Below are 14095 nucleotides of genomic sequence, written 5' to 3'. Positions count from 1 at the left end.
CCTGGGGACAAAACTCACAGCCCTGGCCGCTGTGGGCTTGCTCCTCTCGGTGAGAGTTTTCTGCACGCCAGCTAGTGTCCCCTCTGGGTTTCCAGCTCTGGCTGGGAGCTTCTGGATTTGGAAGCTGGGGAGACCCATGCTCTCCTGTAGGACTCTGCATGAGCCTGGGAAGGTAGCTCACACCTGTGCTCCCTGCCTCTAGGTCTATCCCTGGGGGCCACAGCCAGGCCCTGAGAACAGAAGGGCCATGCAGACAGCCTGTGTGGCAGGGCCCTGCTCTGCCATGTGCCCACCTCAGGAGGCTCCGGGAGGGAACGGACTCGGGTCCTGCAGAGCGGGGCTGAGGCACTCGCCTCCACCTTTGGTTGAGTCCACTGTCCTTGTCCCAGGGAGCTAAGGCAAATCGCGCAGCCCCCGAGGAGTCCCGCACCGGGTGGCTGTGGCTTCTGGGCTTCCGCAGCCCCAGGCCTGGAGCCCACCTGCCCGGCTGCCCCCACCGCAGGCGCTCAGGCTCAATGGGTGGAGTGTGGGCCTGGCTGTGCGGGAGAGCAGGGCAGGATTGCCCAGGAACTGCACTGCGTCTGTCCACAGTGAAGGGAGGGGTGGTGGGCCTAAGTACCCCCAAGCCACCCCTTGGTGCCCCTACTGCCTCTGCTCCCCGCTCAGACCCTCCCCCGGGATCTGAGTGCTGGAAGGGGCCCTGGAGATGGTGCACTGCCCCCAGCTCAGTGAGGGCCAGGCTCCCCAGAGGAAGCGCTTTCCCTCCACCGAGGCTCAGGGCCCCTGCGGCGCTCCCCGTGCCAAGCCACCCTCTCCAGAGACTCCGGGTGTCTTCCCTCCCCTCACCCCCCGCCCGGCTCCTCCCACGCGTGTCCTGAGAACTGCCTGAGGAGGGACCCTCTGCAAATGCACTGGGGTGAACTCTGGCCCTGGGAGTGCCGAGGCGAGGTCACCGCAGGCCAGAGGCCCCTTCGGTGGCGTGATGTCCTTTCTCCGCCCGCAGCCCACAAACACAAGAAGCAGGACCCGCTGCAGCCCTGCGACACGGAGTACCCCGTGTTCGTGTACCAGCCGGCCATCCGGGAGGCCAACGGGATCGTGGAGTGCGGGCCCTGCCAGAAGTAAGACCGCAGGGCGGCGCCGCCCGTCCCGCCACACTCCTCCCGCCCTCGGCAAGGCGGAAGTGCGGGCAGGGCCCCGGAACCCCCGGGAAACGGCTCCACAGCCGGGAGGAGGGGATGCGTCTAAGTGCAGAGCCCACGCTCCCGGGGTCTTCCCCCGCCGTCCTCAGTGGAGGAGACACGCAGGAGGCGGACGGTCTGAGGCGGGCAGGACGGCTGGGGACCGGGACAGCCGGGATGGGGAGAGGTGGTCCCGAGGCCTGACCCTGTGTGTCGAGCCCACCCCGCCGAGGCCGCAGCCGTGACCCCACGGCGTCTCTGGGCGAGTGGGCCCTTCGGCGGGTCTCCCCCAGCCCTGCTCAGGCGGTGCCCAGGGCGGTGCCAGTGCCCGCGCCTGAGCTGCGTGGGGAGAACTTGGAAGGCAGAGGGAGTGTGAGAAGAGAAGGCCGGAAGTGTGCGATGTCCTCGGGTCGCTGGGAGCCCCGCGGGCAGCCTCTGTCAGGCTTCCTGCTGTGTGGAAGCCGCTAGTTATAACCCGCCCTGGCCCCGGGGAGGCAGGGAGGCCGCGCGGAAGGGTCTCTCCTGCTGACCCCCCGCACCCAAGCCCGGGAGGACCCCCACGCTGGGAATGCGGCGGCCTCCTCGAGGGTCGCCTCAGCCAGACGTGCCGCTCGCCAGGCGGTCCCTAGACCCCCGGGCCCGTGGCACACCATTTAACAGTGCGGCACCTGCGGCGCTGGCATCGGGGCTCCCTTCTCCCCCACTCCCTGCGCGTCGTGCTGCGCGGGTTTCACCCCGGGTTCTGTGCAGCGTTGAGGGCTGGGGTTAGCGTTCCCTGTGCACTTGTCGCAAAGGCTCGGTGCGAGGATAGAGCCAGCGGGCTCCGGAGTGAAGCGAGGGCTTCAGAGTAGACACTCCTGAATTGAAAACTGGCTCTGCGCTCCCCCGCTTATGACCGTGGGCAAGTGACTTCGCCTCCTCTAGTCTCCATTCTCTCATCTGCAAAATGGGCACAACACCAGCCTCATACAGAGCCGTGAAGGCTGAGAGTATACACGGCTGTGGTGTGCACGTTGGGTGTGTGAGACCGCCCATCCCAGGGGAGGCGCTCGGTAGGCGGCCGCTGGGACTGCTGGGAAGGCCGTGGGCCTGGCGGGCGGGCTCCGCCCCACTCCGCGCCACTCCTCGCAGGGCGGCCTCGCCGAGCGCGGGGCCACTGCGCCACCTGGTGGCCAAGCTCCAGCGCTGCCGCTTCGCCCGGGCCTGCCCCCGCCACCCTCACCCAGAGCAAGTGTTGCCTCGCCCGCCCATTTGCTCCGGACGGTCTTGATTTACGCCTGTCGTCCCTGCATATATTAATAGCAACTCTGCACTCTCCAAAGCGGCCCAGTTTGGACTTCCTCACTGTCTCCAGTCTGCTAGGAAAGGAAATGCAGCAGCAAAGGCTTGTGAGCAAAGCCAGTAGGACTGAGCCATCTGCCAGGCCCGTTCCCTTAGCTGCCCCGACCCGCCCTGCCTCATGGTTCCGGGCTTCCCTGCCACCCTAACTCCACACTAAAGTCTCCAGAAGTTCCTTCCCTAGAAGCCCTTCTCGTGGTCGCCACGGAGCCATCCTCGACTCCCTTTCTTTGCTGCAGGGTATTTGTGGTGCAGCAGATTCCCAACAGTAACCTCCTCCTCCTGGTGACAGACCCCACCTGTGACTGCAGCATCTTCCCACCAGTGCTGCAGGAGGCGACAGAAGTCAAATATATCCTGCAATGCTCGGGGATGTGTGCGGTGGGGGCGGGGGCTGTAGGAGGTGTCTGTAGGGCTCAGATTTTGAGCAGCGGGGCCAGCCTCCTTCACCGCCCGTGTCCTCCACAGGGCTCCGTTATTTGTTCTCTAACCCTTCCCTGGGCCCCGGTGCTGCCTCCTGACCCTAAAGCTGCTTGCAGGGCAACTGGTGGCACCAGAGCAGGTTCTTCCAGACCTTTTTCCAGTCTGCAGAATGGGCTCCGGTCCTGAGATATTGACCTTAACAGTGGCTTCTGCACATAATGCCTCTGTCAAATGTGACCGGATGCGCTCCCAGAAGCTCCGCCGGCGACCAGACTCCTGCCACGCCTTCCATCCAGAGGTGCGGGTTGAGGCGGATCGAGGGTGGGCTGGATTTTCATCCCCAAACCCTCTGTGCCTGGGTCTGTGCCCCTGCAGACAGGAGCATATAGGGATGCCAATGAACACACCTGTGCCTGTGCTTCTCGGGGGAAACATTCGCGTTTATGCCCTGTGACACTGTGATATAATAAGAAACAGATCTTTATTTAGTCTTTGTCCTGATTCCTGGCAAGCTCCTAAAACGCTTGTTATTTCCTGATTAGGGTGATAGGTGCATCTTTTGTTATAGTGTTTGGTCTTAGTCCCTGGTTCCTTCACAGGTGCCTCTAAGACCCTTGGAATGATAGAGGTATCTTTGTATGCTAATTAGATGACTGGTGGCTGGGGGCCCTAGACAGGATGAGAGCTGGCCACAGGAAACACCAAGTTAGGATTAGAGGGTTGGGACTTTTGGCTCCAAGCCCCTGGCTTCTGGGAAAGGAAGGGGGCTGGAGACTGAGTTGATCACCAGTGGCCAAAGATTTAATCAATGATCATAATGAGGCCTCCATAAAATCCCCGAGCCACTGTGTTTGGAGAGTGTCCGAATTGGTGAAAGGGTGTGGGAGCTCTGCGTACCCCGTGCCTTGGCCTACGTGTCTCTTCCACTCAGCCGCCTGACCTGCGTCCTTTATAATAAACGGGTCATGGTGAGGGAAGCACCTTCCTGAGTTGAGTGAGCCACGCTAACAACTCACGGAGCCTGAGACAGGCTCATGGGAACCCTAGATTTACAGCCAGTCTGTCAGAAGGACAGGAGACCTGGGGCTTGCGATTGGCATCTGAAGTGACGGCCACCTTGTGGGACCGAGCCCTGTAACTTGCGAGCTCTAATGCTAACTCTCAATAGTGTCAGACTTGAATTGAGTTTCAGGACAGACACCCAGTTGGTGTCCAGAGAGTGGGGTGGGAAAAACCCTTCACATTTGTTGAAGTGCTGGTGTGAAAGCACAGCAGAGCCCCTGTGTCATTAAAATACGAAGTCAACCAGGATCCCAAGGTGCTTTAACGAAGAGCCACGCTTCCTAGGGCTTGGGCCCTAGGTGAATTAGAATGCAGTTTTCCCATCTTGTCCTCATTCCCGCTACACTTAGTTCCGAATGATCGAGCAATGTGAGGGGGCCGTCACGTGGATAATAGTCATAGTGGCTGGTACGGATCCAGAACCCAGACCCAGGTGTCAGGCCCTGAGCCGGGTGCTTCATACAGTCTGGTCTGCTGGGACCAGAAACCCCCATCAGAGATGCTCCCAGAGTTGAGGACATTCTGAGAGGATGACCTCGCAGCCACTCCAAGCCTGAGGGCAAGCAGAGAAGGCCGGTGCCCCCCTCCCAGGCTGAGGGGCCAGCCTTTGCTTTTCCCCCAAAAGGTAGGGGCCTAAGAGAGGTAGCAGTGCTTCCCCGGCTTTCCAAAACTCCCCTTTCCCCAGGATTTTGGCCCAAATTAGTGGTGGAAGCCCCTCCCTTTTTGAGGGTCCTCCTCTGAGCGCCGCGCTGTCACCTCTGCTCTGCGTTCGCAGGAGAATGCCCAGGACTGCGGCGGCGCCTCGGACACCTCAGCCTCGCCGCCCCTACTCCTGCTGCCTGTGTGTGCCTGGGGGCTACTGCCCCAACTCCTGCGGTGACACCACCCAGCCTGACCTGTGTTTTGGCAAGGTGATCCTTCCAGAGCCATCCCAAAAAGTCAGCACTGACATGGGATGCAGCTAACTGCAGTTGGGTCGCCCCCAGGCCAACGCTCCTCTCAATCCTGGGCTGGTGGCCCCTGGCTCCGGAGAATGCTGGATGGAACAGGAAACCAATCACCTGGCACCACTTTCAAGATGCTTCATGGTGCCCGGTACCATCTGCCCTAGGTCTCAACATGAGCATACTTCTGACCTAACCTTCCTGTCTCCTCTTCGGGAAGCCAGCGTGAGCTCAGCTTGGACCAAGACAAAATAATTTAGTTCTTCCTGTACTCCAGAGTCCAGACCCAGCCAAGAAAGGGTCAGTTGTTTCTGACCCTTTCTGTCGGAGTGGTCTCTGGTAGAACCCAAGGACTTCTGGGTACTGAGAAGCAGCAGCAGAATGAGGCCAAATGCAGAGATGAGGCTAAGGCAAGAATATGCCCCAACTAAAGCATAGATTCCCCAAAGTGAGGCTCATGGTGGGAGGCCACTCACCTTCCTAGCTGCTGCTCGAAAAGGTTTTGACTGTGTTGGGGTGGGGGTTGGGTAAGGGAATGGTCAAGACTGAGAAAGGAATGAAATCCATTCAGGAAATATCGACAGGGCTACACGTGATGTCCCCAAACTGCTGCTATTGAAGAACTTCCCAAAACTTCTTTACAAAGCCCTAAAGGAAAGTTTGCATCTATGAAAAGCCAATAGGCTGAGACATCCAATTGCTGCATGGAAATTGATGTACATTCAGGGGACGGCAAAAATAGCTGTAAAATAGTGAAAAAGAGCAGTGGTTGTGCTCTTTTCTGGCCAATGATTTACAAAAGAATCTACTTGACTCTGTCCCTGGAGTGAAATCCTTAGGGTTGGAACTTGTGGGAACATTCCAACTTGCTAAGCAGGGTCCACTGGGAGGGAAGCTCTATCTGGGAACTCACCCCCAGCGCACACACATCTCCCCCAGGGTCCCAAGGCCCCGCAGCTTCCTCCCCCGACCAAACCCCAAGACCTGGATCCCAGGAGACAACAGTCTCCACAGTGAGAGCAACATTAAGGGCAAAGCCATGGAGAAATGTGGGAGAGGCCGGCCTCAAATCTTTCCATTTAACAAACCCCAGTGATGGGTATGGACAGCATGCAGGGCTTTTGGGGCGCTTCCCCCCGCTCCTCCATCACCCTCAGCCTCCACACTTCAAAGTTCAAGTTCAAAGCTGTTCAAGTTTCCTACCAGCAAATAGCCCTAACTTGCCTCTAGAGTAGGCCAAATGCCAACTCTGTAAAACACACTTACATTATCGGTTACAGAATGTCACTCTTACCGTCATGTCTTGCAACAACCCTGTGAGGGCAGTATTAATGCCCCCTTACAGCAGAAGACACTGCAGCTCGAAGACAGCTTAAGTGGCAGAATAATGCTAGAACAGCTAAGGTTTACATGTACCAAATAACATGTTTCAGCTCATTCCATCCTCACAACAGCCCCCTGAAAGTGGGTACTATCATTAGTCCCATGTTATAGAAACTGCAGCAGAGTTGAAAATTGCCTCCAAATTACCGGAAGAGTGTATGAAGATTGAATGTGATGTATTCACGTAACATGCTTGAAACTGCCTGGCATATACTAAACGCTAAATAAATACATGCTAACTGCGATCATTACATTACCTTGTTTCATGGAGGTGGGGACAAAGAAATTACAATTTAGATGCCAGGAACAATAAGGTGTTCAACAGGCCCAGCAGGGTTAAGAAAGCAGCAAGGAGCCCTTTCTAGCCCCTGGGCTGCCATCACTGAGTGTCCCAACCATGTGTCACGAGGCACCACCTGTGCGGCACACAGCAGGGTGAGCACTAACTCTCGCCCTGCCACTTCCTGCCAAGGCCGTGGCCGCCCACCTGCCGTTCATTCTTTGGCATTAAGGCACATTCTGACCTCCAACTGCATTTGACCCCAACTACCAACTCACAGACACCAAACAGCAGTCTCTGTAGGACCATAACCCAGTGTTATCTTTTGGAAGGGTTATCATCCCCACCCAAACAGGTAGAGCACTTTCAGGCAAATTTATCAACTCTTAAAAAGCCAAGCTTAGGAAGCTGGAGCAGCTTCTGGCCTGGTTTTGTCTGCTTCCTCTGGGCCCCATATCTCTGCATGGCCGAGGGGAATCCCTTTCAAGACCATTGGAAGGAAAAACCATTTCTGATAAACTAACCTTCTCTACCTTGGAGAACAAAATATTCTCATAAGCTTTGCCTTTGAAGGTCAGAACGATTCCTCTTCTACTTTTAGCAGAACCACTAAAGGACAGCAGGTGGCAGCCTGGCTCACTCTAAAGCCCATCACCTGCTCTCGGACGCATGAACTTGGAACCTAAGTCATTTGATAAATTAGAATGCAGAATTTTGAAATCTTATGTTGTACACCACCTTTGGAGGACCAGGAACTTAAGGATGCTGTCAGATCTTCCTTCCTCAGTACCAAGGATATGTGAACTACTAAATCCACATAATAATGTTGTGTATTTTAATAGAAGAGCTTTCAGGGAAAATGCTTCAACCACTTCATTAAGCTCAGTGAAGTTGTGGTTCGGGGGCGGCGGGGAGGCAAGAAAGTGGGCATATCATAAGGCCAGAAAAGTAAATGAAGTCCACAAAAGGACGGAATTGGAGCGAGGGTTTGGCAGAAAACCCAGCCAATCACTATGGGAAGTTTGAGGAAATTATCTATAGAAACCACAGCATCTCAGCGTGGGCTCTAGAGGATGTATCGTTGGCCTCATTTTAACAGAACACCGAGGCTAGACAAGCAAACGGCCACTTGCCCATGCTACATGGCAAATGGCACAACTGAGATCTGAAGCTACCCTTTTCATTTCCAGGTAGTGTAGCAGGGTAGGGACGGTGGGACAGTAGGATGGCGGTGACAAGAGGCCATCGCACGTGACGCTTCCTTCCTGCCCCATGCCATCATAAGCAGCCTCTACATGAGTGAGACAGGCTGCCCTTGTTTCACCAAGTCAAACAGCTGAAGGCAGAAAAGATTTGTACATTAGATAGGGTGTTGGTGGTGGGTAGGGAGCAGTGCTGGCTAGCAAATGGTTCATGCCCTCTGAGGGGAAGACAAAATGAAACACTACAATTGAAGCCAAATATTCAAGAAGATGTTGTTTCTGGGATGATTTTAAAGTAACATTGCCCAGAGGGTTCTCTAGGCACCCAGAGCCTAGCACGCTGTACAGTCAGAATCCAAACTTGTCCTTATCTACTTCCTCTACAACCACATAACATCACCTGGGTATCAGGAACCATACAGACACTTTTTTTTTTTTTGGGAGATGGAGTCTCGCTCTGTCACCCAGGCTGGAGTGCAGTGGTATGGTCTCAGCTCACTGCAACCTCCACCTCCCAGGTTCAAGCGAGTCTCCTGCCTCAGCCTCCCAAGTAGCTGGATTACAGGTGCCTCCACCACACCCAGCTAATTTTTTGTATTTATAGTAGAGACGGGGTTTCACCATTTTGGCCAAGGTGGTCTCGAACTCCTGACCTTGTGATCCGCCCACCTCGGCCTTCCAAAGTGCTGGCATTACAGGCGTCAGCCACCATGCCCGGCTCAGATGCCTTTTGGGAAGAGACGAGGAAAAGACAAGTGGGTTATTAGTAGGCTTCAGCTAATACTGTTTGTCAAAAGCAGGGAATGATCCAATGTCTATGCCCAGGTAAGGTATGGGACACTCTAAAGTTAAATCTATACTTAAAAATGAGAATTCAGAATGAACATATTATCCTGATACTGGAAATGCCCTTCCAAAAACTAAATTTACCTAAGGCAAAAGGGTTGGAATTCCGTTTTTTTTTTTTTTATTTCAAACACCAACTCGAACCAGATCCTCTTCTTATATAGAAGGGACTAGGTTAATGAACCCCAAAACCTTTAAGTCAATGTATATGACACTGTTTAATCAGAATAACAAATACAGAAAGGTTTTCTTAAATTTTCTCTTCACTCTTTTCTCCAATACAGTGCTGGCACTAGAGTCATTCTTAAACTTCCTAAGCTTCAGTTTCCCCATCTATAAAATGAGAGTGAAAATACTCCTGAATGGCTCAGAGGGTTGTGATTATGATCATATGACATCGACAGTTCTCTAACACATCCCTTGGCATCAAGTGTTACATTAGAGACTATTTTTTTTTTTCTCAGACAACATGACTTTATTACTGGAAACCAACTAAGAAAAAATTATGATTAGGAGGAGAAAACAGCAAATGGTCGGGGTAAAAAACCAATATTCAGCAATCAGTAGCTTTCACCAATCAAAAGAACTTTTAGAAGATATAATTGAAGACAAAATCCTATTTATAATAGCAAACAACAGCAAAAGCAAGGAATGAACTTAGTCAATGTGCACTGCCTGTAGGAGATGGCCTCGTGATCCGCCCGCCTTGGCCTCCCAAAGTGCTGGGATTACAGGAGTGAGCCACCGTGCCCAAAAAAATAAATTTTGTAATGTTTCACTTAACAAAAGAGATACATTCTGAGAAATGTATCATTAAGTGATTTCATAATTAGTTGATTTCGTTGTCACGCAAACATCATAGAATGCACTTACACAAACCTAGATGGTACAGCCTACTACACACCCAGGCTTTATGGTAGAGCCTATTGCCCTTGGCATTAGAGACTATTTTTATAAACTTCAATAATAAATAAGAACTGCCCCTTAGAGCTGCTCTCCCCTCCATTCTAAACCTGGTGCAACTTACGAGGAAAGCTTGAGTTAGGAAACAGGAGTTGGGCATAAGCACTTTGATTTCTGCATCCCGAAGGGGAAGTTTCCAAAAATTTCTTAAATCACAGTGTCTAAATTAGAGCTTCAGAGAAGTGCCAAAAGCCAAGGGGAGGTAAGCTGAACGGCAATAAAAAAACACACGACAGGTCATATTTCATTTGGTTCTTTTTATTAGAAACTGAGAATACAGCAAGTAGGGAAATCCCACATCAATGGAACCATCACACAGATGCCTTTCTGGAACCCCAACCTTCTATGATCCCCAAAAATGTGCTTTGTGGCTTTAGCATAATTTATAAAGGGGAAGAGGGAAAATACTGAAAAAGGCCACTATTTAATGGTGAAAGAATGAAGCTGTAGAGGTCCCAACCAGCCTAGGGCCAAAAAAGAAAATTAAAAATCTGCACAGAGCAAGCAAGCCTCTGACTGCTGAGAGTAAGGCATTCAGGCGCCAACCTGGTGAGAGTTCTCAGCGAGCACTGTCAGGTCAAGTGCACATGAGGCTGTTGGTAGTGAGCTGCACGTAGACACACACATAGAAATGGGCACATGCCCACATACACACCCGAAAAAGGGAGATTTTACTGGATTACACATCAGTGATGTTAATTTCATTTTTCCTAAGGGTTTGTGCTATGTTGAACCAGATCCTTCCAGCTTTGGGGTGTGGGTGACTGCACCCAGAGGCTGCTACTTCTGTTGGTGTTGTGACAGGGCTGCACCTATACGCTGTATCCCAAAGTGCATGACCGAAGAGCAAGTCTGGCTTCTGATACGTGCTGTTGCTCCCAAGAAACTAAGTGGGCTTCTGTCCAAATGGCCACTGTCCTGCTGGACTATGCTTTCTCAAAGGGATTAATACTGTTCTTTATTCTGTCAGGCACTGCACCAGTTCATCCACTGAGTCTTTTGCTCGGTCCACCTAGCACCTAGGACAGTGACCTTATCCAGAACCAAAACGTTCAAGTTCTTCTCAACTTCTACACTGGATTCTTTCTTCCTAGATCCCACCTTTTGCTGGAGATTGCAAGGGCAAGGGAGGAAAATAACTGAGAAAACTCTATTGAATAAATAGGAGACCCTTCCCATATTCCCAAACACCTACTGAGGACGCCAGTCCCCATGCTCAGGACCTCCATATTTAGTTCTAATACCCACAACCCCAGGATATAATGGAGTCATCCCAAGTCTTTGATGACAGTAACCTAAGACTCGAGCACTATTTTGGTGGTTCACCTATGGGCCAAGATCAGAATTCCATGAACCAGATCCTTTCCCCACCACTTTCTCTGACACCGTATCAGGTAGGCCTGTGACATGAGCCATCGTCTTGTACCTCACTCCCTGGCAATAACATACCATTGTATTTAAAATGCCACACCACTCTTATCCCTGTAAAGTGAGGTTCAGTGAGTGCTGACAACTCCGTACTACAACTGGCTTTAAGAGTTCTGCTGGCTTTCTTATTCAAGGAGAGCCGAGGTGTCTGTCACATCCAGGCTTACCAAGACAGTGTACCAGAGGTAAAACTCATCTTTCCTAATCCAAAGGAAGGGTCTACCAATCTATGTAGATGAGCTCAGGAGAAACCTGGACACGTCAGAATCTCATTTGTGGCTGGCTCCCATGCCAAGAACTATGTCAGAGAAAGGTCCATTTCTATTCCCTCAAGGAGGAAGTGTAGTTAGGGCAGTGATTTTTAATAGAGGGAAATTTAGAGAGTGTTCCAGAGCTCCACAGCAAGGATATGGAAAACTGTCCCATCCCTCTAATAAGACTTCCCATAAAAGTGAGCGGGATGCCAGGAAGTAATCAGATCAGCCCATGCTAATGTTTCTAGAGCTCCTCCATGGCCTCCAGCACCCCTTTACCAGCTGCTAGGAGTGTGTCAGTCTCTCAAATGACAATGACACCCTAACTAGAGCCTTTATCTAACATCCTGTCACCCACTCATGTGCTGCTTCCACTGAGAAAACACATACCACTCCCCTCTACCTCAGGCCTCCCAAAGGGAGTGGTCATGTCACCACTGGGCTAGGGCTATACTCTCTGCCCCATTAGGGTCCAAGGTATGTCAGCCTTTAGAAGGCATCTTGGTGCACCAAGACACTGTACATTCCGGGGCTATCACCTGATCCTACAGTCACTTTTTGTGCAAAATTCAAACAGTGTGTGGTACTTGCATGTTTCATTCTATACAAAAATTCTCCCTCCCTCCCTTACCCCTATGTTTTAAACATTTATATAAAGTCTTATTTAAACAGTTAGAAATCTTATTTACATTAATTTCTTTGTTCTCCCAAAAGAGCATTTAAAATCACACTCCCACCCCTTATCGGATATAAATGTTCACTTAAATTGGTTTGTATTATTGTCATAGAGAGAGAGAAAGGGAGAAGAAAGAACCACCAGCTAAACTGTTTCGCCATCTTCTACAAATAAATATGATATGGATCAGAAGCCAGTTTGCCAAGGGTCTTGCAGAGCCCGCAATCAGTAGATCCCAAGAATAAGCCAGGGTTTGGGCTATGTCTCCTTTTCTCCCAATTGATGCACTCCATCCTTTGAGGTATGATTTATTTTTGTTTTTCTCTTCTCAGTCATGTACCACGCAGAGCCACTGGGCCGTCACAAAGCCCACGAGGCTGTCAAAGTTTTGGGGCTCCTCTGGTACTGGCATCAGTAGCCAGCAGGGAGGCCCGCAAGTGCCGCAGGCCCTGGTTTAGGGTCATAGTCCCTGGAGACTGGTAGGTATCACAGTGCATCCTCTTCACTGCAGCCCCCGCCGATCATGAAACGAAACTCCTGGAGGTTTGAGACACCATGGAAGTGAACAAAAGCTCCAGCAACCACAAAGATATGAAACAGCTGATGAGAGTGAAACTGGAGGGGAAAAAAGAAGAGAAGGGGGTAGAGAAACCCATACATTATTAAGACTGCTAAAGATTCTTAGGATCGTTTAATCCTGGTTTATGCTGAGCAGAAGGCAGGGAATGGATGTGACAGAGCTCAAATTCAAGGCGTCCACAGATCCTGGAACATCCATTAGGTGTAACACATTCTGCTGAGCTGAAAGCCAGCTGTTCCCAAAGAAACCAAGGTGCTGCCACTAAGCTCTACACATAAAAATCTACAAACTTAACACTGAAACCAGTGGCAAATGACACACAGACTCTCTTGCTAAAGTGGCAAATGACACACAGACTCTCTTGCTAACAGGCCACAAAGGTCCCAAGGATCCCTTGACACCTAGCCATGGGCTATGATTACACATACAGTCCTTTTCCTACTCACTGCTGATGGACATTTTGTCATGGACAAGAGGACTAGAGCTATGGTCATTTAAATGTTGCTCTCTGTTAGAAAAACTAAAGAGGCTTCCAGGATGGTGTGTGGAATGTCACAACATATGGTCCCCAGAGTTTCCTTCAGTGCTACGATTCTCAAATTTCATGAACTACATAATGTGTCAAAAACTAAGCAAACAGGCCCTTTTACTTCTCAAGTCAGAAGCTGGTCTACAAGCAAGTGACATTATTTCTGATTTTACCTGTTCTGTTGAATGCTATTCCACATCTCAAGAAGGGTAATCAATTGCTCGCTGCACTTCAAAAATTACACTATTCTGTCATTATAATCTCAAAATGAAAAAGTACAGTGGCAAAGCAGTATTTATCAAGAGAAAAACACTGATTTTAGAAGCAAAAACTAGAAGAAATCAAGTCACATCCCAAGAGATGTTTCCTAGGAAACCAAAGGGGATTAATTTCCCCCAAAGAAAGGGGATAAAGGGCAAAAACCCCTCCATACCAATGTTAAAATGATGATGATGAATCAGAAAGATAAATTAGCTAATTTGAAGCTAGAAAGATTGCTTAAGTTCAAGATCATCTTCATTTTACAGATAGCTAAACTAAACTTTAAAGAGATGAGATCATCAGGTTAGTCTATAATAATCAGCAATAGGCTGAGGAACAGAATTACAAAGGTCAGATTTCACATTAAGCGTATTTCCAATGTTGTCTTGTTGAAAATATTTCAGGCCCTCTTTGGTTATAAGTTTTTCTATCTATATCAGTCCTTATATTTTCTTTTCCCTCTTCTCTTTCCTCCTCTCTTACCAATGACCACAATCCAGTTCAATCCAGTTCCCTCTTCTTCACAATCCCTCTTCTTCCACCAGACATACATACACTCAGTCTCCCATTACAAATCACTAAATTTCGGTATAAAAAAAGACCCTGATAGAAATCTGGTCCTAAAAAGGGCTCTGGTGAAAATCTGGTCTATCATCCTCATTTCATAAATAAGGAAACTGAGACAAAGAATGGCAAAATGACTTGCCATTGTCAAAAAGAGCACAGATTCTGATATTAAAACTAG

The 14095-nt window shown here is 50.4% G+C and overlaps 2 protein-coding genes across 11 annotated transcripts in view, besides 7 other annotated features; one reads left to right on the top strand and one right to left on the bottom strand.

Annotated features, from left to right (window-relative positions):
- CACNA2D4 (calcium voltage-gated channel auxiliary subunit alpha2delta 4) overlaps positions 1 to 6576 on the top strand; it is a 126690-nt gene extending 120114 nt beyond the window's left edge. For 2 of the 3 annotated variants that reach the window (XM_047429897.1, XM_011521041.3), the window contains exons 34-36: positions 1004 to 1121; positions 2759 to 2871; positions 3158 to 3430. In XM_047429897.1, the coding sequence (XP_047285853.1) occupies positions 1004 to 1121; positions 2759 to 2871; positions 3158 to 3396 (470 nt within the window). In that variant the 3' untranslated portion in view covers positions 3397 to 3430. Of the gene's footprint in view, positions 1 to 1003; positions 1122 to 2758; positions 2872 to 3157; positions 3431 to 4779 lie in introns of those variants that run through there. The other variant, NM_172364.5, reaches the window with a different exon arrangement.
- Positions 503 to 1407: an enhancer, noted in NCBI's record as "H3K27ac-H3K4me1 hESC enhancer chr12:1906298-1907202 (GRCh37/hg19 assembly coordinates)". NCBI's record gives its function as "activates a minimal SCP1, AML or CMV promoter by ChIP-STARR-seq in naive H9 embryonic stem cells {active_cell/tissue: H9 hESC(naive)}" and the evidence as "EXISTENCE:reporter gene assay evidence [ECO:0000049][PMID:30033119]".
- Positions 1335 to 1564: a silencer, noted in NCBI's record as "silent region_4125". NCBI's record gives its function as "represses an Ori minimal core promoter by ATAC-STARR-seq in GM12878 lymphoblastoid cells {active_cell/tissue: GM12878}" and the evidence as "EXISTENCE:reporter gene assay evidence [ECO:0000049][PMID:35858748]".
- Positions 1335 to 2464: a biological region, named in NCBI's record as "H3K27ac-H3K4me1 hESC enhancer GRCh37_chr12:1905392-1906297".
- Positions 1408 to 2313: an enhancer, noted in NCBI's record as "H3K27ac-H3K4me1 hESC enhancer chr12:1905392-1906297 (GRCh37/hg19 assembly coordinates)". NCBI's record gives its function as "activates a minimal SCP1, AML or CMV promoter by ChIP-STARR-seq in naive and primed H9 embryonic stem cells {active_cell/tissue: H9 hESC(naive and primed)}" and the evidence as "EXISTENCE:reporter gene assay evidence [ECO:0000049][PMID:30033119]".
- Positions 1665 to 1794: a silencer, noted in NCBI's record as "silent region_4124". NCBI's record gives its function as "represses an Ori minimal core promoter by ATAC-STARR-seq in GM12878 lymphoblastoid cells {active_cell/tissue: GM12878}" and the evidence as "EXISTENCE:reporter gene assay evidence [ECO:0000049][PMID:35858748]".
- Positions 2135 to 2464: a silencer, noted in NCBI's record as "silent region_4123". NCBI's record gives its function as "represses an Ori minimal core promoter by ATAC-STARR-seq in GM12878 lymphoblastoid cells {active_cell/tissue: GM12878}" and the evidence as "EXISTENCE:reporter gene assay evidence [ECO:0000049][PMID:35858748]".
- Positions 2425 to 2992: an enhancer, noted in NCBI's record as "H3K4me1 hESC enhancer chr12:1904713-1905280 (GRCh37/hg19 assembly coordinates)". NCBI's record gives its function as "activates a minimal SCP1, AML or CMV promoter by ChIP-STARR-seq in naive H9 embryonic stem cells {active_cell/tissue: H9 hESC(naive)}" and the evidence as "EXISTENCE:reporter gene assay evidence [ECO:0000049][PMID:30033119]".
- ADIPOR2 (adiponectin receptor 2) overlaps positions 9865 to 14095 on the bottom strand; it is a 97605-nt gene continuing 93374 nt past the window's right edge. For all 8 annotated transcript variants that reach the window (XM_011521024.2, NM_001375364.1, NM_001375365.1 and 5 more), the window contains one exon: positions 9865 to 12595. In XM_011521024.2, the coding sequence (XP_011519326.1) occupies positions 12467 to 12595 (129 nt within the window). In that variant the 3' untranslated portion in view covers positions 9865 to 12466. The remainder of the gene's footprint in view (positions 12596 to 14095) is intronic.

Source organism: Homo sapiens, chromosome 12, assembly GCF_000001405.40.
Source record: "Homo sapiens chromosome 12, GRCh38.p14 Primary Assembly".
NCBI lineage: Eukaryota > Metazoa > Chordata > Mammalia > Primates > Hominidae > Homo > Homo sapiens.
This window is presented reverse-complemented; position numbering and strand designations above follow the sequence as displayed.